General features: G+C 38.7%; 1 protein-coding gene and 2 long non-coding RNA genes across 15 annotated transcripts in view, besides 11 other annotated features; 1 reads left to right on the top strand and 2 right to left on the bottom strand.

The window, feature by feature from the left end:
• Window positions 1-143: 143 nt before the first annotated feature.
• The window catches only part of PSMD14-DT (PSMD14 divergent transcript), a 31,386-nt gene continuing 5,859 nt past the window's right edge, over window positions 144-25,670 (top strand). The window contains exons 1-3 of the long non-coding RNA NR_110593.1: window positions 144-202; window positions 3,565-3,791; window positions 6,202-6,263. This is a non-coding gene — a long non-coding RNA (PSMD14 divergent transcript). The remainder of the gene's footprint in view (window positions 203-3,564; window positions 3,792-6,201; window positions 6,264-25,670) is intronic.
• Window positions 5,737-10,048, bottom strand: LINC01806 (long intergenic non-protein coding RNA 1806). Of its 2 annotated transcripts, NR_110163.1 has the most exons (3): window positions 9,892-10,048; window positions 9,320-9,363; window positions 5,737-7,912 (listed from the first exon to the last, which is right to left on the bottom strand). It is a non-coding gene; the product is annotated as a long intergenic non-protein coding RNA 1806 (long non-coding RNA). The 2 variants fall into 2 exon arrangements; NR_110164.1 differs by lacking the exon at window positions 9,320-9,363.
• Window positions 9,660-9,769: a silencer, noted in NCBI's record as "silent region_12057". NCBI's record gives its function as "represses an Ori minimal core promoter by ATAC-STARR-seq in GM12878 lymphoblastoid cells {active_cell/tissue: GM12878}" and the evidence as "EXISTENCE:reporter gene assay evidence [ECO:0000049][PMID:35858748]".
• Window positions 9,752-10,252: an enhancer, noted in NCBI's record as "H3K27ac hESC enhancer chr2:162101046-162101546 (GRCh37/hg19 assembly coordinates)". NCBI's record gives its function as "activates a minimal SCP1, AML or CMV promoter by ChIP-STARR-seq in naive and primed H9 embryonic stem cells {active_cell/tissue: H9 hESC(naive and primed)}" and the evidence as "EXISTENCE:reporter gene assay evidence [ECO:0000049][PMID:30033119]".
• Window positions 9,752-10,259: a biological region, named in NCBI's record as "H3K27ac hESC enhancer GRCh37_chr2:162101046-162101546".
• Window positions 10,200-10,259: an enhancer, noted in NCBI's record as "active region_16711". NCBI's record gives its function as "activates an Ori minimal core promoter by ATAC-STARR-seq in GM12878 lymphoblastoid cells {active_cell/tissue: GM12878}" and the evidence as "EXISTENCE:reporter gene assay evidence [ECO:0000049][PMID:35858748]".
• Window positions 11,489-11,598: an enhancer, noted in NCBI's record as "active region_16710". NCBI's record gives its function as "activates an Ori minimal core promoter by ATAC-STARR-seq in GM12878 lymphoblastoid cells {active_cell/tissue: GM12878}" and the evidence as "EXISTENCE:reporter gene assay evidence [ECO:0000049][PMID:35858748]".
• Window positions 11,619-11,698: an enhancer, noted in NCBI's record as "active region_16709". NCBI's record gives its function as "activates an Ori minimal core promoter by ATAC-STARR-seq in GM12878 lymphoblastoid cells {active_cell/tissue: GM12878}" and the evidence as "EXISTENCE:reporter gene assay evidence [ECO:0000049][PMID:35858748]".
• Window positions 15,486-15,555: a silencer, noted in NCBI's record as "silent region_12056". NCBI's record gives its function as "represses an Ori minimal core promoter by ATAC-STARR-seq in GM12878 lymphoblastoid cells {active_cell/tissue: GM12878}" and the evidence as "EXISTENCE:reporter gene assay evidence [ECO:0000049][PMID:35858748]".
• Window positions 15,646-16,015: a silencer, noted in NCBI's record as "silent region_12055". NCBI's record gives its function as "represses an Ori minimal core promoter by ATAC-STARR-seq in GM12878 lymphoblastoid cells {active_cell/tissue: GM12878}" and the evidence as "EXISTENCE:reporter gene assay evidence [ECO:0000049][PMID:35858748]".
• Window positions 15,646-16,403: a biological region, named in NCBI's record as "VISTA enhancer hs416".
• Window positions 15,847-16,403: an enhancer, noted in NCBI's record as "VISTA enhancer hs416". NCBI's record gives its function as "enhancer in: forebrain[10/10]" and the evidence as "EXISTENCE:transgenic organism evidence [ECO:0001131][PMID:17130149]".
• TANK (TRAF family member associated NFKB activator) overlaps window positions 18,557-25,670 on the bottom strand; it is a 99,268-nt gene continuing 92,154 nt past the window's right edge. For all 12 annotated transcript variants that reach the window (XM_047441820.1, NM_004180.3, XM_047441804.1 and 9 more), the window contains 2 exons: window positions 23,236-23,816; window positions 18,557-19,445 (listed from right to left, as the gene is read on the bottom strand). In XM_047441820.1, the coding sequence (XP_047297776.1) occupies window positions 19,269-19,445; window positions 23,236-23,816 (758 nt within the window). In that variant the 3' untranslated portion in view covers window positions 18,557-19,268. The remainder of the gene's footprint in view (window positions 19,446-23,235; window positions 23,817-25,670) is intronic.
• Window positions 20,601-20,670: a silencer, noted in NCBI's record as "silent region_12054". NCBI's record gives its function as "represses an Ori minimal core promoter by ATAC-STARR-seq in GM12878 lymphoblastoid cells {active_cell/tissue: GM12878}" and the evidence as "EXISTENCE:reporter gene assay evidence [ECO:0000049][PMID:35858748]".

Here is a 25,670-nt window from a genome sequence, read left to right as displayed (position 1 = left end):
GTTGTGCAACTATCACCACCATCCATCTCCAGACTGTTTGCATCTTGCAAAACTGAGACTCCCCTGTACACCTTTAACAACAACCCCCATTGTCCCCTTCCCTCAGCTCCTGGCAACCACCATTCTACTTGATGCCTCTATGAATCTGACTACTCTAGGTACCTCAGATGAGTGGAATTATGCAGTATTTGTCCTTTTGTGTGTAAGTAGCTTTTTAATAATCTTTTTCAAATATTTTTTTCAAAGACATTTACCAAAATTTTATGACTAATGCTTGTTCATAGTAGAAAATCCAAACTACCTAAGAAGTTTCTTTATAGTAAAGAGCAAAATTTCCTCTTCTCCACAATGTCCATTCCCATTAACCAAAGCTAACCATTGTTAATACTTTTTTTGGCCAATCTTCCAGAATGTTTATATGTATCAATAAGGAACAGCCTCACATACACATGGGCCTGCACACACACTTCTATGCTTTTTCTGACTTTTTTAATTTTAAGAAGGCTAATATATATATTGTTGTACAATTTGCTTTCTTCACTTAATATATCTTGAGTATTTTTTCACAGCAAAACATATGTTCTTAAGTGAATCTTTTTTTAACTTAATAATGTAATTCAGAATAATATGAACGAATAGTCAAGAATGACAAAGAAAATTTTGGAAAGGAAAACTACTGAAGGACTTGCAATACTAGATATAAGACTGTATTATTTAAATATTGTGATAAAGGTAGAAAAATAGAGAAATCAGTGGAGTGGAAATTAATCTCAAGAGAGGTCTCTAGAAGATAAAACCTTTCAGCTAAATTCAAAAATCTTAAAATCAGTAGGAAAAAACTATATTATTCAATAAACTTGCAGGGACAAGCTGAAAAACAAGAATCCAATCCTCTCCTCACATGATAAACCAAAATAAATTGCAGACATATTAAAGCACTAAATGCATAAAATGAAAACAAAAAAAAATCATCAAATATGTAGGAGAAAACAAAAGTGAATATTTTAGCAGGTGGTCATGCGTGCCTGTAGTCCCAGCTCCTCTGAAGGCTGAGGCTGGAGGATCACTTGAGCCCAAGAGGTTGAGGCTCCAGTGAGCCATGATCGTCCCACTGCACTGCAGCCTGGGCGATAGAGCAAGATCCTGTCTGAATAAAAAAATAAAGAAGTCAATAAAAAATAATAAAAGTGAATATTTATCTAACCTTTTGTGAGGAAGATTTTCCTTTTTTTCTTCAGAGATGGAGTCTCACTCTGTCGCCCAGGCCTCCGCCTCCTGGGTTCAAGTGATTCTCCTGCCTCAGCCTCCTAAGTAGCTGAGACTATAGGCATGTGCCACCATGCCTGGCTAATTTTTGTATTTTTTATTAGAGACGGGGTTTCACCATGCTGGCCAGGCTGGTCTCGAACTCCTGACCTCGTGATCCACCCACCCCAGCTTCCCAAAGTGCTGGGATCACAGGCATGAGCCACCGCGCCCGGCCATGAGGAAGATTTTCTACAAGTAAAGGTAGAAATGTTAATGAAAACACTTGAGAAATTGACAATTTAAAAGTGAAAAAGTCAATAACAAAATATGATAAAGTTTAGCTTAGAAAGATCCTTGTAAAATGTATGGCATAGTGTTACTATGGCAATTTTACATAAACACCTTTCTTTATAAAAAATAAAAAAAATACAAACACCCCAACAGAAAAAATGGGTGTTGTATAGGAATAAGTACACTATAAAGCAATATTATAAATGGCAAACAATATATGAAATTTAAAATTTTTCAAGTAAGCAAAATAACTAAAAGTAAAAACAATTATTTTTTCAAACATCAAATTCGAGACCATTAAAAACCTGTTAACATTTAGTGTTGGTGAAGATTAGGATAAACAGACATTCTCATGTACTTCCATTTTGGAAGGCACTTTAGTCTACGTATCAAAACTCATAAAAAAATCCTTTTTGACCCTAAAATTCCCCTTTTAGAAATTTATCTGGAGGAAGTAATTATAAATGTATGCAAATATTTGTCCACAGAGATGTTCACATAACATTGTTTATGATATAGAAAAATTAGCAATTATTGGCCGGGCATGGTGGCTCACGCCTGTAATCCCAGCACTTTGGGAGGCCTAGGTGGGTGGATCATTTGAGGTCAAGAGTTCGAGACCACCCTGGCCAACATAGTGAAACCCCATCTCTACTAAAATATACAAAAATTAGCCGGGCATGGTGGCACATGCCTATAGTCCCAGCTACTCAGGAGGTTGAGGCAGGAGAATCGCTTGAACCCAGGAGGTGGAAGCTGCAGTGAGACGAGATTGTACCACTGCACTCCAGCCTGGGTGACAGAGTGAGACTCTATCTCAAAAAAAGGAAAAATTAGCAATTACCAAATACATAGTGTTAGAGAACTTGTTAGACAAACTATGGTGCATTTATACTATGGAATACTATAGTTAGTATTTAATGACATGGGAAAATGTGATATATTTTAAGGGAAGTGTCACTCATCAATGAGTAATGTCATATATCCTAATTATTTTTAATACTTACTAGTGCATAAAAATATGTATAAGAGGCCAGGCACAGTGGCTCACGCCTGTAATCCCAGCCCTTTTGGAGGCCGAGGCGGGCGCATCACGAGGTCAGGAGATTGAGACCATCCTTCCTAACATAGTGAAACCCCGTCTCTACTAAAAATACAAAAAATTAGCCGGGCGTGGTGGCACGCGGCTGTACACAATGAACATGTATTACTTTTGTAATCGGAAATAATGTTATAAAAATGAAATACTTTTAAAAAGCATTTATGATACAGATATTGTTATTTATGTTTTTCCTCAAGTGATTAGTTGCTCTGCCTTATTTTGGCCAAGTTCCAGGTAAGCTTCTGGGCACTTTATTGAAAAAAATAAATCAAGTAAATCATTAGACTAAAATTATATATTGATTTTGCAAAAGTAGCAGTATTTTGCTGGACAAAGTCACAGAGCTAAAATATATGATATTTTCATTTTTAACAATGAAACGACTATTATAATTAAAAGAATTCAGTTTGCATTATATGCCTTTAAATAAAGATTAAATGGACCCCTGACACACCAAATTAATATGTAATCCAGTTTCATTTTTTAACTAATGGAAACACAAATTAGTATAATTTTATAATTTAATACTCAGCAATAGATCATTTTTTAAAATAGAAGAAATTAAACATTTTTCCACATACCATCCTTAGGGAACAAGGCATATCATAAGATATGACAAATAAGCTTCTAGGAAAAGTCTTCATTTGTTCTTTCCAGAAAATGTGAATTTGCTAATTTGGTGACAAATATATGTATACATATTATATGTAATAAAATTATACTGAAAATAAAATCAATGAAATATTGAAATTTTAAGTGCAAAGCATCTGGTTAAAACTGCCTACTCTTGCTTATATATCCTTTTTTATTTGCTATTTATATTAGCAAAATGAACTTAACATAATGCCTCAAATAGTTAATGAATATAAAGCTTTAAAACAGTAAATATGTATTGTACATGATCTTTTGGAATCTGATTTCAGGTACAACTAATTTGACAGGCAGTATGATAAGGAACAATCTGAATGACACGTAAACAGGAGGGGGTAAATTCCAAGCACAGCCTGAATGAGAAGTACAACTCATTTCCTGTAACCTAGATGCCTTTTTAACACATCTATGCAGTCTCCATGTGAAACCAGGTGCTGTTCCCAAAGGAGAAAACACTGCCCTCCAGTGGTCTTCAATGAAGAAATGGAAATAGTTTCAGGTACCATGATAGCAGCATTTACATGAAACATGGTATATTTATCTAGTCTCATTTTTGGCTGTATTTCTTAAGCTGAAACACGTCTACAACTGAGCATAAGGACAAAATTTCCAAGATAAATTCTAATAGGTAGGTAGTTACTCCAGTTAGATAGACATATTAACAAGGAGGATTATGACTTTCTAACCCCAAAAGCTGACCATTTATTCGACTATCAAAATTGGATTATGTTAGCCACCTATAGTTTCTCACTTTCCAGATAAGAAAGAAGATATTTCATCTCTGTGTTTCCCTTGTTGGCCAATTTTTTAGCTAAAAGACATTTAAAATTGTACAGCAGGCAGAACCCCAGGGGACTGAACAGTGTTCCAACATCCTTAAAGGCTTCCCATCACTTGAAAAACCAAATTCTTCCTCCTGTTTCTTAAACTAACCAAAGTAGGCAAAAGCAATTTTTAAAAGTCTTTGTGTCTAGCATTGGAACTTTCTCATATTTCACACCATTATATAAATGTCACTCTAACCTATATGTATCACAAATGCTACGCTAAATTAGGGCCAAATTTGCAACCTAGTTTAACTGGGTTTCCTCTTTTTGCAAATGCAGTTTTTGTGTCTGCATTTAGCAATGCATACAAAACTGTCCGTGTAGCTAACTGCTTCAAATTGCTAAATTTGAGGATGGATGTGTAGAGTCTTTATGTATGTGCCAAAGCAATCCTGTTTCTAGTCATATAAAGACTTCCTAATCAAATGGACCTTGACTACATTGCTAAATTCTTGGACCACTTCACTTACTCTTTTGGATTTAGTAAAGGAAAAACTGAATTTTAAGAGGGGAAAGAGACAGTTTTCAAACCTCCTCCATGTCTCTGTCCTTCAGAAACCAGAATGGAACTACATCACATGATCAGATGGACTCTAGAGTCCCACAGCTATAAAGCCTCATCCATTACAAGCTATGTGACTTAAACTTAGCCTCATTTTTCTCATCAGTAAAACAAAATCACGTTGGGTTCATTAGGTGATTATTAACGACTGAATGAGGGAATGTACGTGAAGTGTCTAGCAAAGAGAAAGGGCTTCACCAAGACGCTACTGTTATTCTATCACCATCACTTCTTAGACTATTAATCCAATGGTCAAGTAAATTTTTCTAGAGATATGACTTTCTAAAATTTATTCCCATTTATCACCTTAAATAATGTTCATCATTCAGTTTACTATATAGAAAATGTCCTGAGTCCTCCAGATAAATTCTTTAAAACAAATGCCTTGTGCTAAGAGAAAATATTTTAACATCACATTCCTCAAATATAGCACCTTTAAGTATGAATCAAGTTTTTCTTCTTTTCACTCCCACAGAAGATGGTATCCATTATATAATCACCTGGATTCACAAAGCACTTTAGCATGTAAAAAATGACAAACATCAAAATTGTAATCACTGCAAGGGTAGTATAGTAATTAGACATATTTGGGTATATTGTAGTAAATTTAAAAGTTTCTGAGCTTGAGAAAATAAAATTCCATAACCATACTTGCTCTAGTTGTTTAACTCAACTTACTGTACATTTCAGAGAGAACAATTACTTTCTTTAGGAGATTAATGCACTATCCTTTGAGATGAAGAAAAACCTACAGATTTTAACAAAACATTGTTTGTTCTTGTCACTAGCTGTGGTGAGGAGTTTTTACTGAGCCATGATAGCACATCTTTATCTCCTACTTCTGTGTACACTTGCGGCATTATAACACATAGTTTTATCTGGGTAAATTCACTGAGTATGGTCTTCACTGATCATGACATCTCATCAATAATCTCATTATTATGCTTTATGTCATACAACATAGAATCTTTGATTACTCAAAATATTTCTTATAACTCAGAATCAAACTGTTTATGATTTAAAACAGAATGTATTGATGAATAGAGAATGCAACAGTGATTTGATAAATGTTTAATAATTTATCAAACTCAGAAAATTTTGGGACAAAGTACCATTTAAAGATAAAGCAAATAAGTACAGCTAAATATTGTAATAGTGTATAGGTGTTACACTGAAGCCTGTGTATAAGCATTAACTATGTACCAATAAATGCAAAGAAAATAAACTTTGGTTATAGCTTATCTAAATTAATCTCAGAATTTGACAATTAAACATATGAATTTGTAATAAACATTCTGCATTTTTTTAAAATTCATCATATTTGTAACAGTGCCAAAATAATCTAAAATCAGAACGCTTTCTGAGTATAATTATATTATTATAATTCTCTACCTTGACAGATGACAATTTTAGAACACCCTAAATACAATTTCTAGTATATGCACTAAAATAAAATGTAACAGATAGACAACTCACCATAGTATAAGTAACACATTCAAATTTAGTAATTTATTTTCCAGGTGGAAACCAGGCTTCTTGGAAGACTTCAAACTATGCCAAATGGTCTGATTTCACCATAGAGGTAGGCACTAGAGGACTAAATTTACTTCTGTGTAATTTTTGTTAGCTACATTTTACATGCAAATGTCTATACAACCATGTTAATGAAGTTATAGAGAAGAAAAGAAAGTTGGCATTCCCACTTTTGTTTTATTCCAAAGCAACTTTTCAGTTGACTTGCTATCATTTTAAGCCATTGTTGTTTAATCATAAGAAAACAGAAAAGTCTAACGATGCATTCGAATTGGATTGCAAGTCCAGAAAAACAATATGTTACTTCTAAATAAAATTTAGATTTGACATTTTTTCCCTCATAACTTTATGGTGTTCACAACATAGGATAACTTTATAGTGTTCACAACATAGAATGCTTCTAGTGGAATCAGACAAAAAAAAGTTTTGTTAATAATAAATATTTAGAAAAGTTCAGTTTTTCTGATCCAGAGTTGGTTATTTAGAGGAAAAATTTTGTTCCTTCTTATCAAGGGGCTCAAAATTTTCTGCACCCCAAATGGAATTGGCTGCTTAATTGATAGTTATCCAAAATCTTTTTTCCAAGAAATATAAGCAAATATATTTAAATTTGACATGGGTAAATTTCCTATAAAAATGTTGATATTTAAGCTTCAAAGCCCATATTGGCAATGAAAAGTGTACAGTATCCTTTTAGGTGGAACATTAATAATCTAAAATTTGTCTCATTATAAGGGAAATGTGCCTGGGGTATATGAAAAATAATGGTTTAAACTAAAGACACAGATGATTTGCAATAAAACTGAAAGTAATATCTCTAGAAGTGTAGGTGATAAAAGGAGAAAGAGACAGAAATAATGGTTGCAGCTCTGCATTTATGGTATAGGTTACAGCCAAGACTGGATACAATCTCATCTCATAATATCCAAAAGAATAAAGCAAAATAAAACCTCCTTCACCCTCGCACATTAAAAGGAATCAACATCTTGACCCAAAGTTCAAACTCCTAGAACTTGTAAATATCTGTAAAACCCCCAACACCAAGGTTTCTGTAACCTGTCACATCAGAGAAATAGGGAGATCTTCCACCACGGAAATATGACTATTAAGAATTCACAGATTACCTGAAACATTTACTAATCACCTCCCACCCCCAACACCCCCTCCTCCGAGGGAAAAAGAAAAAGGGAGTGAGAGAGGAAGACTCAAAGCACTGGGGAAAGCCTGCTATGAAAATGCCAGGCCTTTCTTGGGGCTTAGACCGTCAACCTAATCCTAGCCAGAACTATCGCAGGACTATAATAGGGCAACAGAGTACTTTGTGTTTGAGAATTGGGGTAGGAGGACCAGGATGTGAAGACATCTAACAAATTCATAGATTTTTAAAAAGCATTTGAGAGCGTTGTGTTTATACATGCTGGGCAACATAAACCATAAACCTTGCTGGATTTCTGCAAACTGCTGCGTGGAGGATACAAACGACATTCCTGTCAATGGGAGGAATAGACAGACAGAAATCAAGACAGAGATAGGCAGCACCCCCAGGATGTGAAGCTTGTTCCAATTGCAAGCTGTAGTGGAAGGAGATGATGACACCCAGAACAAAATGTCTTTTTCACGAGGATGCTGAAGCTCTTGCTTTGTGATCTCTGTTTACAGAAGGAATGATCCATGGAAAGGACTTAATTTCTCCATTTTCTGGAATCGAAATATAAGGGCTTTTTAGTTAAAGTTCTTCCTGTAGAGTGTATTGTTGTGTTCCATGAAACAGACAAAACTCAGCAAGACAACAAAGACTTGATCTGTAAGAGAAGGTATTAAACAGCAAGTCCTCTCCAGAGGGTAATTAATCCTTAGTCATTCATCTTAGAAGTCCCAGTTACAGTTAAGGTTAATGTTCAGGTAGCTTCTTTCTACTTTCTTTAAAAATTTTTTTAAACATTTTTTTTTTTTTACAGAATGTTATACTATTAATTGCCAATTTGCATATGTGTGCAGCTGCTGTTTTGGCTCTGAACTCAATCCGATAAGCTTGCTGGAGGTATCGCAGAGCACTTGGCAGCTTTCCTATTTGAAAAGAAAGCCTCTCCCCTCTACAGAACAGCTGATCGTCTATCAGCGATAGACCCTGATGGCGTGAATTACAATTACACTACTTTTCACACTAAATCTGGGTGATAGCTACTTGGAAAGAAGTTTCATCATTTTTTACCACAAACTGGAAAAAGAATTACATGGTCATGCTGTGCTTTTAAAGGCAGTTTGGTTCACTTTTGTCTATTTAACACCTAATTCCAAGAAGTCCATAGGCATCTAGAGATCTGAATGGCGCGTAATGAATTCACTGTTTAGATTGAAGATTTTAAAAATCTACCTCAAATTACATTTATTAACAGGGCGACCAGGAAGTGTTAAAGTTGTTAGACACTTCATTTATTAAATAATTTGTGGGTATTTTCAGTTGTCATATCTAGAGTCATGGGGTTTGCTTATTTTTTTTAATTAGCAATCCAAAACAATGCTACTGCAATTTAACAATTCATCACATAATCTTGGGCTCTTCAGTTCAACTGCTAATGTTAGATAATTCAGATTGTTATTTTTGTCTGTTTATAAATGATTTTGGTTGCATTGTGCTGTGAGGAGAACTGCAGCAGCCCAGGCAGATGATCTTTCTCTTATTTCCTGCATTGCTCAGGATGGTTGAGGGGCCTTCCAAAAAATGCATTTGAGGAGTTAAGTTTAGCATCTAGCAAAAGCAAACAAGTGATGGGGCAGGGGGCACTAATAATAACTTGATTTATTATCATCACTTATTTACGTCATTATCAATTTACATTTCCTGTCTGTTCGGAAAACTGAGGAAGGGCCTCTTTGCCAAACTACATTTTGTTAGAATCCTCCATTTCTCTGATTTTCTGGGACGTTAGAAAGTATTGTCTTTCCTCTTCTTGAAAGAATCGGCCAACCATCAGAAAATTTAAGAAGCTCCTAAACATCCCTTTTCTTTTCTCTTTCTTTCCTCAGCCCTCTTCCCCTCCCATCTTGACATTTAAATCAATTTGTTGGGGTGGGTGGGGGGGAAAGAACAAGAGTTAAACCCACCTCAGGCAGCAGAAGTGGAACACATTAATCCTGACGTAGTTAACCTAAGAGAAAAATAGATTTTGTTTTCCTTTTTTAGTCGCTAGCTTTATTAGATTTCTCACTCTCACAGATTATCCGAAGACTACCCATTGATTGATCGCCCGTAGAGCTGCATTTGGTGTAATGAAAAAACTCACAGCTTTATTGGCTCTCAGGAGACAAAACAAACAGAACAAGATATTCATATTAATGCAAACAATGCAACAAATGAGGGGAAGAATCGCCCGGCTGAAGCGAGGCCCGGCGCGGCCGCGGCCGGGGGGCTGAGAAGGGCCTGGGTGCCTGTCGCCCGGGAGCCGAGGTTTCCCGGCCTCCCCCGACCCCGGGCGCCAAGAGCAGTCGGTCCCCCCGGCCTCCCGCCGGCAAAGGGGCCCTGGGGCCCAGGCGCGCGGCCCCTGCGTGGCGGCAGGCGGCCCAGGCCAGCGCCGGCGGCTAGAGAAGGCCTCCAGTCCAGGCCTCATGGAAGGGCCTGCCTCGAGCGGCCCCTCAACGCCCCGCAGTGTGGCACTGGAAGGGACCTAAAAACCCACCTGGCTTTCTCCTTTCCCCTTCCCCACGCTTCCCAGGGCCCAATGCCCGCATCTCAGTTTCGCTTTCCGGCAGGGTCAGGGGTGAGAGGGAGGAATTCTCAGGTGTCACCTCCTCACCCGCCTGGAGGCGGAGGCTAGAAAGACGCCGGGGCACTCTGGAGGGGAGGAAGAGGTGTGCCTAGAATTCTCTCTCTTAAACGCTCGCGTTATCACGGAGGAGACTTTATAAACACTTTAAACACAACACCAACCATTTTATCAGCAAAAGCGAGGGGAGGGGGGCGTACAGTAAATGCTGAGAGATGTTCGAGAAGCCCCAAGACGTTCCTTGCGGAAGGAGAACGGAAGAAAGAAAATTACGGGCGGAAAAAGAGTAAATATTAGCTCCACACCTAACCACTTCCCCAGCCCCAAACTAGGAGAGAATCTGCTAAGATTCAGCTTCATATTTATATAGTCTATGTGATGTTAAAAATAGGGTTGCCAAATATTGCATGGGGCATTCTTAGAGTAAAAAATTGTTATCTACCTGAAATTCAAAAAATTTAACTGGGCATCCTGTATTTTTATTGGCTAAATCTGGCAATTCTAACTAAAAAACATTCTGCTGAAGAAATCATATAAGAAGGAAGGCTCATTGTCTGATGTAATCAGGTTATTGGGGACATGTTTAATGGAACCTTGCCTGGAAAAAGAAATTGAGTTTCTCCTACAGCATACTTTTGTAAGCACATGGTAGGGTGGAGGAGGAAGAAATGACTGAAGCGACTTGGAAATGTCCTTACATTATATTTGAGGAGGAAATGACAGTCATTGTTGCCACTTCACTAGGAAATGGAGCCGGGTTCCTTTCCTAAGGTTGGCTGACTGGGTCTGGCCCACAGAAACCCTCCCTCCCTAGCCGGTAGAGCGTACCCTAGCATGTCTGCAAGTGGAATGTCAGTTACAGTGGTTCCCATGTCGGCATTAGTGCATATATTTTTTCTAAACCTTGACTATAGAGCCACGTTACCCATTGGTATTTAGTATATTTTGAAAAAAAAAAAAGAGTTGAGTTGAGAACTTTAAAGGCAAAGTCTGCTTTGAAATGTATCAAAGGCTTTAACCTAGAAATAGATCTCATCCAATAGGGTCTTGCAGATGCTGAAAGAAAAGGCTTTTGCAGTGCCAAAGGTAAAACCTCAGGAAAAACGCAACAAAACAGTGGGTCTTTGTATATTGAAGTGTGTGTGAGAGGGTGAGGAGTTAGAAAGCTGCTTTCTGGAGAAAGCCTGCTGCTTGCATTGCTTCCCCAGCCCCAGTTAGAGAGAGCTTTTTCAAGCAAGCTTTATCACCCTTACTGATACTTTGGATCCCCAGTGAGCTAGCCTTCCTTTTAAGCCAGTTGCTTGAAGAGGTCTGAGTACACCCACACAGGATGCCCCTTTATCACTGGCGGGTAGAGCTATTTAACAGCTGCAAATGGAGAAACTATTTGTCTAATGAGTGCTGTTTTCAGAGTTGATTCACCAATACTCTCAGGGGAAGATAATATAAGGCCGAGACTTCCTTCTGAGCTGCACAGCCATCTCCAGACAGTGAAGGCCAGGTCTGGAACCAAATGAAGTATTTGGTTGGTTTAGATAATGTTTTAGTTCCAGATCAATAGTTTTAGAAAATACATAAGCTCACTTCCAGTTCGTGCTGGTTAGCTATTTTGTTTCCCCCAGACAAACTCTAACCTAGAATTCAGACTGTTAAAAAACTTAGCACTGTGGTTTGGCAGTTATGGTATGGTTTAACTCCATACTCTAGAGGTACAAATCATTTTTTATCTTCTCTCATGTTAGTTTGTGTCTACAAAAATATGTTCCATGACTTGCTCTTCCCTCATTGGAGCAGGCCAGAGAGATGCTCAACACCCAGTGGGTTAAGGTGCCTCTTTTCCAAGCAGAAATGGACTGGGGCCCTTGTTAGAGTGGTGATAAACTGACAACATTGATTGATTGATAGATTGATTGATTAAGATGGAGTCTGGCTCTGTCCCCTAGGCTGGAGTGCAGTGGTGCGATCTCGGCTCACTGCAACCTCTGCCTCCCAGGTTCAAGCGATTCTCCTGCCTCGGCCTCCAGAGTAGTTGAGACTACAAGCATGCACCACCACGCCCAGCTAATTTTTGTATTTTTAGTGGAGATGGGGTTTCACCATGTTGGCCAGGCTGGTTTCGAACTCCTGACCTCAGGTGATCTGCCTGCCTCGGCCTCCCAAAGTGCTTGGATTACAGGCGTGAGCCACCTCACCTGGCCGACAACTTTAAATAATAAACCCCACTCCAGTGTCAGGTAATGTCAGGCCCCCTACTCTCTCTGTGGTTTATTCTTTTGTGTAAAAAGACTTTGGATAGGACTTAGGCTTCCTCTGAAACAAAGTACAAAGTCAGTGAAACACTGTATTTTATTTGAGGTAAGGGCTGGTTATGGAAAAAACAATAGTTTGAAAAAGACAGGAGAGCTTGAGTTGAGTTCCAACTATTTGAGTAGGTGTGAGGGACTCATTTATTCTCTTTAGATACAGTGGGGTTTTTTTGTTTGTTTCTTTATTGTTTGTTTTGTCCACACAAAAAGAAAGTTGAATTAGGCAGTCTTTAACATTTTCTTTTAAAAACAACTATTCCTTGAATTATTTTAAAGTGAAAAGTCATTATTTTTACAGTCCTTCCAAAGGATATTAACAAGATAGTTTTTGAATGTATTCATGGTATAGCCCTAAACAACAAAGGACACATGGGCAAGTGCCAGGATATCCAGGCCTTCTGGATTCCAAGGGGACATTCAACCATGGGAGATGGGTTAAACGTCAAAGGGTTGCATAATCAGGTACAGATTCTCTGAAAATGTGTGAGTGATTTTGAGATAGACATAACCCTCTATAGTCAGGACAAGGGGATAACATGTTTGAGAACTTACTTCAGTCCTATTAGGGGATTGATGCTTCAGAGAAAAGAGGACTACAATAAGATGAAAGCTACAGCTATGCAGTAAATAAACGTGGCATAATCATTCTGAATATTCTAGTGCTTGGTGCACTTTAAAGTGTGTGAATTCATCCATGAGGAGCTCTGAGGATGGAGGAAGTTGGCAATCTAGGAACTGGTCCTAGAAATGACCCAAGAAACTTGCTTCTTTGTATCTTTTTGGTGATAGAAGATGATGTTTCTTTTAATTTGAGGCCTTCTTGAACTGTAAGCTCCCACAATCTTTCGCTAAACAGACTTCATTCACATTCTGAATCTGGTTTTTGTCTCACACATATTAAATTTTACAAAACAGAAAGAAACAATAGAGCTTATTAGGAAAAACTTGTTTTGAATAGTAAATTAAGCATAATGGAAATAGGCACATGTTTTAGCACGGTTTTTTCCCCTTTTTTACCAATTGAACATTTACATCTTTTTCAAAGTGCTGTGATTTTCCCCTTAAGTCTTAAGCTGGCACCACACACTTTCAACAAATGAGACTTACATCACTTGTATCTGCTGAGAGAAATCATTGTAATACTGTGGATTCCAAATGCACAGCCTTCCAAAAAAGAGTTTTAGTCACCCCTAAACTGTATTAATCAAATCAATGTGGCATTCTAAGAATCCAAAGAACTACTTAATTTCAAAGACAGTGTAAATCAACTGGCAGCTCTGACTGATTTCAAAATATGCCGTTTTCAGAGACTGGAAACCTGTATATTCAGAGGTACACCTGACTACATGGTGTGTTATTAAGAGATATGCCCCAGGTGGAGGAATCTTCAAAGCCAATATATTTTCTTTATAACTGGTGTCAAATTGATGTATATATTAAAAAATCTTGGAAAATGATCTCAAAAAGGAAGTAACAGCCCAATGAGCCATATGTTCAGGGAACCTAACAGGTTTCCATTGGGACCAAATTTCACTTCACCTTTTTGTCCTTATGTGCAAATAAAAACTTATCTGTAAATACACCGTTAAAACAGTCATGCAAATTTGTGAGGTCTGTATACTGAGAGGAAATTACACTAAGCCTGTATAAACCAAGTTATTGGAAGATAAATAATTTGGTGAGATACATAACAACATGGGATTGAACTAAATTTGTTTGAGCTCTGTAGATTCACAGCTTTAGAGAGACATTGCTTCTACAGAATTGGTTAATGAAGCAAAGGCTGGTGAATAGTTAATAAATTGCTTAATTTTGATGCTGATGGAACATCTGAATCTCCACGTTTACATGAATAAATATAAAGTTAAAATTTGTTTTGCTGTTAGATAGGTTGCTATTTTAACAGATTCAGACACAAGGGAATTTTCCAAATGCCAGCTAATACTGTAGCATCAAGAAGTCTGTATATGCCAAGGGCAGAGGCCTGCTTAGTGGTTTTCCAAAGAGTGGAAAGCAGAAAGCATTAACATTTACTTACACAAAATCCTTTATGTAACTCTTCTAAGATTTTTCAACTTAAAAACTTTAAAACGTTCTGTATGATTTTAGTAGATCTGAAGTTTGCATTCAGCTATTCTATTGGTATGCCTGGGCATATTCTAAAAGGAAAAATGATTCACTCTGCACTTGTGTAGTTTTTCACATGACTAGGATCAATGAGGATGGTATAAAAATACCAAAATTTACTCATTTTAATTTCATTTTTGTGTACTTTTATCATGAAATATTACAAAGCAGAATAATATAAATGAAACCTTTGTGTATATATGACTGAGCTTTAGCAAACCTTATTTTAAATTGATTTTTTAAAAAGGAACAATGGTGTGTATAAAGTTATGCAAAGGTAGGGGTCAGCAGAAGAAACAATTACACTGCACAGGTTTTTAGTTACTCTGGAGGTCCATCTATGGCTTACGGGGAAGGAAGTTTTATGATGTTTATAAGGGTAGTTTATGTAAACCCGTAACAGTAAAAATATTTTAATGGTAGGAATAAAAGTGCCTTTTAAGTGCAACAATCAGCTTTTACGGTCAAAAAGTAACAGGAGGTTGTATGAAATCTCAGGTCCCCGCCTGCATCAACAGGTATGAAAGGCTTTTTTCAGCAGACTCGGGTTCCGATGGGCTCTTTGTCGGAGGGGCGGCCAGGGCGCTGCTGTTTTTGACTAGCTTGTCTCGGGCCAGAGTATAGAACAGAGCGGCCAGGCGGGGAGCTGGGCCTCCAGATCAGGTCCTGCCCCCATCTGCCCCACAGTCTTCGCGGCAGGGGGGAGCGCGGCCCGCTTCTTTCCAGGCCCTTCTCTCCCCGCGACGGTCTTTCGAGGGAACTCTCGAGGCCCAGACGGCCCCTTAATCTAGTCTTGGGGTCAGGAGGTCAGGCCTTGGAAGCACAGCTAATGCTAAGGCCCTTTATGTATCTTCGCTGCGATCATTTAAACCGTGGACCGGTAGCTCTGGCAAAAAAGGGGCTCCAGGGGTCTAAGAGCCGCAGCGCGCGAGGCGTGGCGGGGGGCGCTGACCTCGCCGACTCGCCGCAGGCCAGCGGGGCGCGGCCACTGCAGGGCGGGTTGGGGGCGGCTGGAGGCCTCGGGGTGGCGGCCACGCTCGGGCAGGGCAGGAGATCTGCGCTCAGTCCTGGAGCCCTTCTTGGCCTTTGTGGCCCTGTCACTCTTTTCACCCCTGGCTGGCCCTAGCCCTTTCTGAATTCGCCTGGACTCCCAGTCGCGCTCGCTGGCCGACGCGGTCGATTCACCAGACAGCGAGTGGGCGTGAGAACGCAGGCTCTTCGGCCGCTTCCCCAGTACGTGGATCCCGGAGCGCGGGTCCTCGCCCCACCGCCCCGGGGAGTGGGCGCGCGGCGCAGGCCGAGCCCTCGGGCGAGCCCGCGCGGGGCTGCACTCCACCGGGCCGGCGCTGGGGGCCGCGCGGGGGCTCCTGGCCCGCTAGGGACTCGGTGGCGGTGGCTGGGTTCCACTCGCCAGCGGCGGGAAGGACGCGCGGGAAAGCGAGGGAGCAGGAAGCGGGTGGCGGCGGCGGCGCGGGGCCCGCTGGAAAGGAGGGAGCGCCGCAGGCGGGAGGAGGGAGCGCGGAGGAGGGAGGCCGGGAGGAAGGAGGGAGCGCGGCAGGCAGGCGGAGGGAGGGCTGATTAGCATGCAGCAGCGCTCGCGCGCCCGGCTCCATTGTTTTAACACCTCCCCTCTCCTCCGCGCCAATCTGTCACCGTTCAGCAGGCGAACGCTGCTGCCTCAAATGCTGCTCTTCTCAAATGAGACGGATAATTAGTTGCCCCGCACGAATGCCGCACTCTTCTCACCCCTGATTGCTATCACCTTCTTGCTCCTGGCAGTTTTGACACCTCGTAATCAGCCTGCTGCTTTTCTCTTTTCTTCCCGACTTCTGCTTCCCTCCCCCCGCTTTCCTTCCTAGTTTATTTATTTATTTATTATTATTATTTTAAATGCAATCCCGGTGCTTATTTGGGCGAGTCCTCCGCCGAGTTAACCTTTCGCGTATACATGTGTGCATTTATCTGTATATGGGAAATTGGGTGTCTGTGCGTGAGCGGGGGGCGGGCTGGCAGTTTTGCGGGAAACACTGCTTCCACGCCGAGAGAACTCGCTTCTCCTAAAGATATTTTTGGGAAGGGAGGAGTTGCAGAGAGGGACGGGAGGGGAGAGTTGGGGAGACCTCAATTAATGCTTTAAAGATCTCTTAGAAATTAACAAACTGGGGAGTCTTGGAATCTGCTGTCAGAAGCGTGTTTTCCCCTCTCTCCTCTAACAAGCACTGACAGTCTAATTACTGTAGCTACAAGCAGCTGTCGAGGCAGCAGCCCGGGAGAGGAGGCGCCACAGGCTGGGCGCGCCCGGCCGGCCCCTGCGCCCAGCCGAACCGCCGAAGCACGGCCCGACTCGGGGAAGGACTCAGGGAGGATGGAGAGGGGCAAGGCCCCGCGCCCGAGAACCCCGGCGGGCCTGCGAGCCAGCGGACACGCTTATTGTTTCCTTAAGTCTTTACCTTGAAGGTTAAAAGATGTGACGAAAGGAGGGGACGTGGGGGGAGTGGGAAGAAAATCTTCTAAGCTTCTATCCACCCCTTTTCTACCTCCTCGAGCTCTCCCTCCCCCCGTGTTGGTAAAATAACCACGCAACCCGGGGCTGAGGGGGCGGGGTGAGCCAGGCTGGAGTGTAAGAAAGCAGATGTCCCCGCTGGCAGCAGCCTCAGCCTCCGGGGAAAGCTGCACCGGGGGGGCCCTCCCGAGGACATTCACCTCCCACTTCTCAGGCATCCCGCTCACAACTGCCTCGCCTCGGCGGGGGTGGTTTTTTCAGACTCGGCGTTTCGCGTGTGCAGCTTTTTTACCTGGGAGCTGTTCTTACCCGGCCACGCTTAGCAGATGCCAAAAGCCAGACCCTGCACGACTCAGTCATGAGACAGAGGGAGAGACCTGGCGGGTGCCCACTCCACCTTTAGAGCGGTGACCCGCGCTCCCTCTGTAGAGCAGGGCAGGGGGCTGCTCTCCAGGCTGCCTTTCCTGTGGCCCCAAAGGGTCTATGTCCCTCACCACGTGGAGCTTAGGGTGCCGCTGGAATCCAGAAGAAAACCGAGTTTGCTAGTCCTGCTAAAAGTGGTGGGGGCGGGGAAAGGATGGGCTGGGGAGGAAGGTCAATGGTACACTTTAATTTGAGTCACCTTCTGGGACACGGAGTTTCCTCTGGTTGTCAGCAAGCTAGTAGATGTCAACTGTGTTGAGAGAAAGTCTTCCCATCTAGAAAAGGACAGGGGAAAAAAAGAATCCCCTTTCACCAGATAGGTACAGTGGTATATTCTGGCTGGTACACGCTGGGAAGTTTTTATTTTTAATTTTGTGTGTGTGTGTGTGTGTGTGTGTGTGTGTGTGTGTGTGTGTGCGCGCGCGCGGAGAAGGGAGGCTGGGTGGGCGGGAAGTGGGGGGAAGGGAAGAAACTTGGATAATTGTCTAGGCATTTCCATTCAGCCCTAGTGGCAATGAAAGAAAGATGTACATACCTCAGAACCCTTCGCAGTGAATACCTAATAATTACTGTCACCCTGGTGAGGAACATGTCAATATGATGTGCTTGGCACCAGGAGAAGTCGAGGCACCACTCTCATTCTTCCACAAGTTAAGGTTCTTCACTGTGGCACAGAGGCCTGCTCAAATTCCCCCATCCCACACCCTCTAGTTTAAAGCACTTGCTTCAAGAAGGCTTAAATTTCTGAGAGTTGCAAATCAATGCTTACTTCATAAAATGGAAGCCATGCCTTAAACACTTTTAAGAATCAGGGGAAAACAGAAACCTATAAGGCGAGAATCATAGGGAATAAAAATGAAAGGGAAGTCTCATTTTAAACAAATTTTGCAGCCGTCTGAATTTGGTATCCACTCTCTCAAATGTCTTCAGTGGCCATCAATCAGGCTGCTAACAATGAATAACAAATTTCTCAACAAGAATATGAACATTTCTAATCTAAGTTAACAAATATAGATAGTCCTTGCAGGGTTTTAGATTTTCTCCCGTTAAAAACAAATGTTTCTTTAGAAAGTTTAGTTTGAAGAATAATTCTAAAATTCAAAGTGATTCACTAATTGTAATAAATGCCACCAAATCTGGTCATCACCATTCTATTAGGTTACTGAAATGAAAACATGAATTTTATAAACTTCCCTAAAAATGTGATTCCTTCCTTCCCTTTTTTTTTTTTTTTTTTTACTCAGGAACAAAGGACATACAAATGATCACAACATAAGTACCTCTTAATATTTAATTAATTTCATCATGTAGCTATACACACAGTAAAAATTAAAGCCATGTATATTATTTAAAAATCTAAAGTGTTTAAATAATTCTACCAGTTGTTTTATCACTGGACAAGAAATGTATTAGGTTTGATATTTACAAAGATGTTTATGTTGTCTGCTATTTTCTATTATAGGTTTATTCAAAGAGAATATCACCTATAGCATAAATAATTAAATTTTTCAATAAAAACAAACTAAAAAAACCCTAGAAACATTTGACATCACCAAATTCAACAGCTCTCACTAGAAATCCAAGCAATAAACTTAGATATTTGAAATAAACATAAATTATGATTATATAACTCTAAGTCACATACATAATTTTGAATTATAGTAATAGCACTGTAAACATGAATACAAAGGATTACAGTTTTATACAGAATTTTTTTTGTTTTTCTTCTTTTAGGCTTATTTCTCCTTGAAAGAACAGAATGATCTTTTAAAAAATAAGAGTTATATAGTAAATCCAGAAAAAAATTCAAATAGCTGTGAAACTAGATTTTCCTATAAATGATCTTGAATTTAGTTTACAATCAAGTATTTATAGTATTAAAAACCCAAAATCATCACATAGAACTTGATATGTCTGTTTTCAAATGTGTCTTAAGTCTCTCCATTGAAGTGTGAATTAAGATGCCGAAGGAAATCCCCCCTGGATGTAATGGATGGTGGGAAAACTGCTTGACAGAATTCACATACTCGAGGTATATGCAGTTCTGAGTCTGTGCCACTTAGTACCACCGAGTCACTGTCTTGATTAGGAAAGGGCTTCCAAATGGGCTGCAGGAAACAAACAAAAATATCTGTTACTTATGTTTAAATTCAAATAGCACTGGACTTCAAATTTGAATTTCTGAATGAGTTACGCATGGGCATATATATTGAATTCCCTAATATAAAAGCAAATTACTTTTCCGTAAAGTTAGCATGACATGACTCAATTCGTGGTTTCATAAAGGGCACAACTAAACTTTGATTAAAAGTCACTTGGGACACACACAGTCATGCATTTTATCTTTATATATTTAAAAAGATTGCAGCTTTAGCATGCAATTTTTAATACTCGATCACAACAGCAGTAGTTTTGGAACAATAGCTAATACTCTGGTCTTTTAAATTAAATTCTATCTTTTGTTTTTTACAATAAAAACCTTAAATTATAGGGGCTTTATTAATTACATAGTACACAAGACATGATGTGTGTGTGCATTGCGTCTTAATCAAAATCAATTTCACTACTGTTTATAAGCAAATACAGTGAATACATCATACATGAATCAGCATTATTTTGATTTTTAAAAAGAAAATTTTCCTTTTAAACTACTGAACAAATTTCACTGATGTTATCTTTTGTTTTTAAAAACACAAATATTTAATCATTCAACAAAATCTAACACATGCAGTGTTTTGACTTCTTACTTTGCTTCTGTTATATAATAGGTAGTTTGGCCTTACTCATTCTTGTGGCTGAATAAAGTGAAACTCGTCAATAGTTGCCTGGTTAAAGAATTATGGAAAGTCATAATCTAACAGAACCACCTCCACTATAACCAGCACATAAATACCCTTTCATAACTGCATTTATTCTTTTTTTTAAATTTCTAGAAGGACAAGAAATAGCATTTAGCTTAATAATAGCTACACAATAGATGTCTGTTAACTGGAAAATATTTTCCTGAATTGTGTAAACCAAATTATTTTTTAAAATTTCTTATGTGGACACAGGTAAATTCCTCTGACACAGCTAAATTCTGATATTTTAAGAAGAATCATCTCATAAAGTCAAATTTAAAGAGACCCCTTATCCTCCTATTACTAATATGTTTTTAAAGTCACACATCCTAGTCTAGCACCTGACAAGTGTTACTGTTATTTCCCCTAACTTCTTTCATTCTGGTTAACCAATCATTTACATAAACAGTATATTACTAATGGAAGCACTTGGATTTCACGACATCACTGTCTTCTTATGAACAGTTTACTGGACAGCTGTGTACAATTGGTGTAAATATACAACGTCTGTCTAGGCACCCAGACACATTCAAATATCAGTATGGAGGACTTATAATAATGCTGACTCAATTCCTTTCATAAGAAATGTCAATTTTATTACAAAAATAGTAATATTTAAAATAAATGTTATAAAATTTAGGGTAAAATAACTCTCTGGAAAAACTTCTTTGATAAAAGTAGTAAAAATTGTGAGCATACAAACAAAAATCTAGTTAGAGTTAACTTGATTCTAATTTTAATGTTTTCAGTTTAAACAAAAAAGTACAAATCACTGTAATGGGAAATTGATATGGCCAAAAATAAAAGATTATTAAAGATAATTCTTATTTATATAAAATAGTAAGAAATTAAATCAGAAGCAATTTAGCTTCTAAATTTGGTAAGCCAATCTTCTACTCCCAATTTACCTATTAAATCCATATTCATTTTTCTCTATTAAGAACTTTTAGTTCAGATTTGATCTCTTCATAGAATTTAGTTGGGATCCCACTCACTGACTCAGCAAAGTAAAAAAGAAAATCACATAGAACAATAATAATCTGATATACTTTAGTCTTGGTTATGATAGCTGAATATATAAAATAGATGTTTAGTAGTAATGATTGATAGAAAGTAAAATTTTGAAATATGTAGCCAAAAATTTCACTTGTCTTTGCTACTATCTACAAACAACTCAGGATTTTTTTAAAAAAAAAATTATTATTATTATTTTGAGACAGGGTCTTGCTCTGTCACCCAGGCTGGAGTGTGATGGCACCATCACAGCTCACTGCAACCTCGAACTACCTAGCTCAAGCAATCCTCCCACCTCAGCTTCCCAAGTAGCTGGAGGCCACAGGCACAAGCCACCACACCCAGCTACATATATCTATATAACTATACGTATTTGTAGAGACAAGGTCTTACTATGTTGCCCAGGCTGGTCTCAAATTCCTAGGCTTAATCAATCCTCCTGCCTCAGCCTCCCAAAGTGCTGGGATTATAGGCATGAACCACCGTACCTGGCCCAACTCAGGAATTTTGTACTTATACTAGCTTTGTACTTATACTAGCTTGCATAATACTAGCTTTATTAATACTAATAAAATAGCTTAAAAGGTTTTTTTTAAAAAACTCATTTTAAGAAATATTCTTTCCATCCTAAACTGTAACATGGTCTTCAAAACAAACTAATTTCTTTGCTTTTTCTGCCAAAATATCAATTATCTAACCTTATGCCCCATGTCTTGTGACAACTCAACACTAATTCTCCTGAATTTTTTAAGCTGAATACTTTTCCATCAAGTTGTAATCACATACCAGCTGTTTCCCTTGCTGTAGTATAGAAAGCAAATGTACAATGCAGGGTGCCATCTACTGAAACATGAATGCACAGACTAGTAAAAGAACAAGCAAGACATATAATAGAGAAAAAAGTAACAAGCATTAGAACTGATGCACTTCACAGCTCCACAGGAATTCTACTTGCAATAAATGAAATTGTTTAATTTGTTTCATTTAGTAGCAACTATAACTGAGACTATGATGTGAAATAAAGTACAATGAACAAGAACATAAGTGAGGTTATAATTAAAACTTATTGTCAGCCATGCCTAGTTCTTCCCACTACTAAAATATACCACAGCTTGACAACTGCCTTCTTTGCGTGCTGATTTAAGTCTATAACCTATATGTGTACTTAAAGCAAAAGGGTATTAATAACTTTTTTAAAAAAATTAAATATCTCAAGGCAAAGAGAAATCAGACAAATGTTTGCAAGTTACATAGACATTTACATCAATCTGTATTTTCATAAGCTTCTGTTTTTTGTAAAAATTATATAGTTTTCATTTGCTTTCAGACATTAAACTTTTTTTTAACTAAAAGAATCATTCTGTGATAGAATTTGAATCTAAAAGGGAGGGCAGGAGTGGTTTGGGGGATATTAGTCTGTGAGCTTTAGAAACATTAAATAAAATATTTGATATCATACACATGCAGAGACTATTTAAAAAATATACTAGGCTACATGTTCATTTCCAGATTAGCAACCAAAACCAAACTAAACCCTACAGATCTGTGTACTATATAACTGAAGATGTAGTAGAAGTATTCACTGAAAGATAGTTCACTTATTTTGATAAATAGAAATGTAAGATGCAATTATTTACTTATGAAAGATCTTGAATTCTTATAAAGATGAATATGATATACACAAACTATTAAATAAAACAGCATTTGTTTCACACTATGAAATTTAATATTCTTATTAATCCTGAGTAAACAAGCTTTGAATAAGGAACTAAGAAAGTGACACCACGACAGATATGGATAAGGCTTAACATGTATTTTTAAATCTGACATAAATTCTAAGGTACTTTCCAATAAAGTTTTACCATATTCAGCTTTTCTAATTTCATGTCATTTATTATGGGACTTGTTTTTTTGAAAGCCTTAACTTTGGCTGTCAGTAGTTTAAAAAGGATGTTTGATAACGTAAAAGAGATGCATATCTGTGCATGTATGGCAAAATGTGTGTTCACACATAATAATATATTTGTTAATGCAAAACAGTTACCTGCTGTGGTCCTCGGATTGCTTTTCCCGGGGAATCGAGTGAGGGAAAAGGTGCATCAGATGGGTCCAGAAGTGGGAAGCTATTTACATATAATGCATTATGGTCTCCAGGTGGCAAACACGCAGCTCTATCCAGAGTTGTCCTGATACAAGTGTTTACGAGATTTGAGGGCTTTGTTTTGTCAGTTGTTTTAAGGTTTTGTATAGCTGAAGCTATGGGGTCAATTCCCTGAATTTCAAATAAAGTTTCTTCTGTTTTAACAAAGTTCCCTGGGTTGTCTCTGAACTCCATATTAAATTTCTCTTGGCACACTGCCTCAGACGTGGCAGGACTAAGGATGCCGGGTCTCTCTGGAGTGCTATGTAAGAAAGTTGAGTCATTGTCCATAGGTGGAAACTTGACATTGAATTTAGAAAGTGATTCAAAAGAGGTGTCTTCCTCATCTCTGCACAGTCCTCTTGGTGTGACAGATGTGATGGATGGTGCACCTCTATTTATATCATCTTTAGCCTGAGGCTTAAACAGCGCTTCTTGTTTATCTGTTTTATCCGTACACTGTATAGGCACAGAGCACTGTGTTTCTGGAGGGAGAAGAACACAAAAGAGAAACAGCCGCATTCAAATCATTAAAAAAATCTGTTCAATCAGCTTTGGAGAGATTATTATTATTTTTTCTATTGGTTTTTATAGCAAATGAAGACAACTGGGATTTTAAAATTTGCTACCATCTTACACAGAATATTAGCAGTCTCCAGCGGGTGAACTGAAACATAGCTTATTAGTCGCAATTTAACTACTTTGTCTTTTCCTAAGTCTTCTGCCGTAAGCTTTGCATCTTGTTCACAGTTACACTGCTCCACACTTGAAAAACATTTGCTTGTAGTGTATACATTTAAACATTTTGTCAGTAACGGAAGCTATAACTGTGAGTTTGCTTAGACAAATAAGTTGTTAAAAGGGAAAATCTTACTAGGTATATCTAAAATTAGGTCATTTATTATTAATGTCACTGTCTAACTAAGTATATCACTAATCAGTTTAGCCACTGTCTGCTCTCAATAATCCATGTGAGGGACTGGTGGTTGCAGGAGTTGGGAAAAAGAAGACAGTGAAGGCAAAGGAAGGATGAAATATTGTGATGCATGTTAAGAAAACTGTGGATGAATAGATTATTTTATCATCTTATATCTTTTTTTAAAAAAGACCTCTGTAAAAAACAGGTAAATATCTGGTAGACAAAAGGGCCTCTGTAGCTCATTTATCTAGAACCACTTATCCAACAAATTCAGCTTTGTAGGACACAGTCAAAAGCTAGAAAGAAAACAGAGCTTCTGAGGAGCCAGAATTAGAGCCACAAGGTTCATAGATAGATGAATTTTGTTCCTATTGTCATTTTAGATTTATTCTAACAAACTTGGTGGTATTTCCACAGCTCATAGCTGGTTTGAAACAGCAAATTAAAAGGGAGTATGAGTTGCTAAAGGCAGACATAGATATCAACAAGAGCTAAAAGCATAGGAAGAGATAAGAAAGACAAAGAAGCTGATATAAGAACTTAGAAAACACTACAGTCTAGTATAGGGCCAATGAGTGCTCAATACAAAAAAACAATCATCAAAGTACTCTCCATGTTGATGATTCTGAGACACTAGAAAAAGCCAAATTAAGCTCCACAATGTCCCTTAAAGAAGGCACTGAAGTTGGTAATGTATGTATTTTAAGGATTGTCATCAGCACTGTTGAACATTCACAAATGGAGACATTACCAATGATGCAAATCTAGGTAGACAGGGTATACAGAACACAAGGTATACAAAGTATCTGTACAGGTTAGTAGGCACTTAACAAATGTCAGTTCCTTTATATTCCTTTGGTCTTGGCAGTCTCATGACACCTCTCTGTCTTTTGCCACAGCACATTCCAATATATTTTTTTCTGTTTGGGTATGTGTAGTAAAATGCAACCAACTTCTTTGGTTCATTTTGTTATATACCTACTGCCTCTCTTTATACCTCTCTTCATACCATCCTTTCTTATTGGATTATTATAACAGCCTTTAAACTGCTTCCTTGCCTCTGAATTTGTCTCATATCCAATCTGTTCTCTTCACTGCAACTTCCCCTCCATCCCTTCATTCTCAGAGTAGTTTTTCTAAAATACTAATCTGACCAAGTTACCTTCCTAATAAAATCTTTTGATGGCTCTACAAGCCCCTCAGATCTCAGAAAAGGCTTATTAGACTGTTCATGACTGGCCCCTGGTCATCTCTCCATGCTCATCTTTCACTCCATACTCTGGCTATAATGAACTTTGTATAGTTCTCCAAAATAGCTACACTCTCTTGTCTTTGCACCTTTGCACCTGCTGTGCAGACTGCCTGAAGTGTCCCCTCCCATTACTCTTTGCCCAACTCTTATTTGTCCTTCATATCTTGG

This window comes from Homo sapiens, chromosome 2, assembly GCF_000001405.40.
Source record: "Homo sapiens chromosome 2, GRCh38.p14 Primary Assembly".
Taxonomy (NCBI): Eukaryota; Metazoa; Chordata; class Mammalia; order Primates; family Hominidae; genus Homo; species Homo sapiens.
This window is presented reverse-complemented; position numbering and strand designations above follow the sequence as displayed.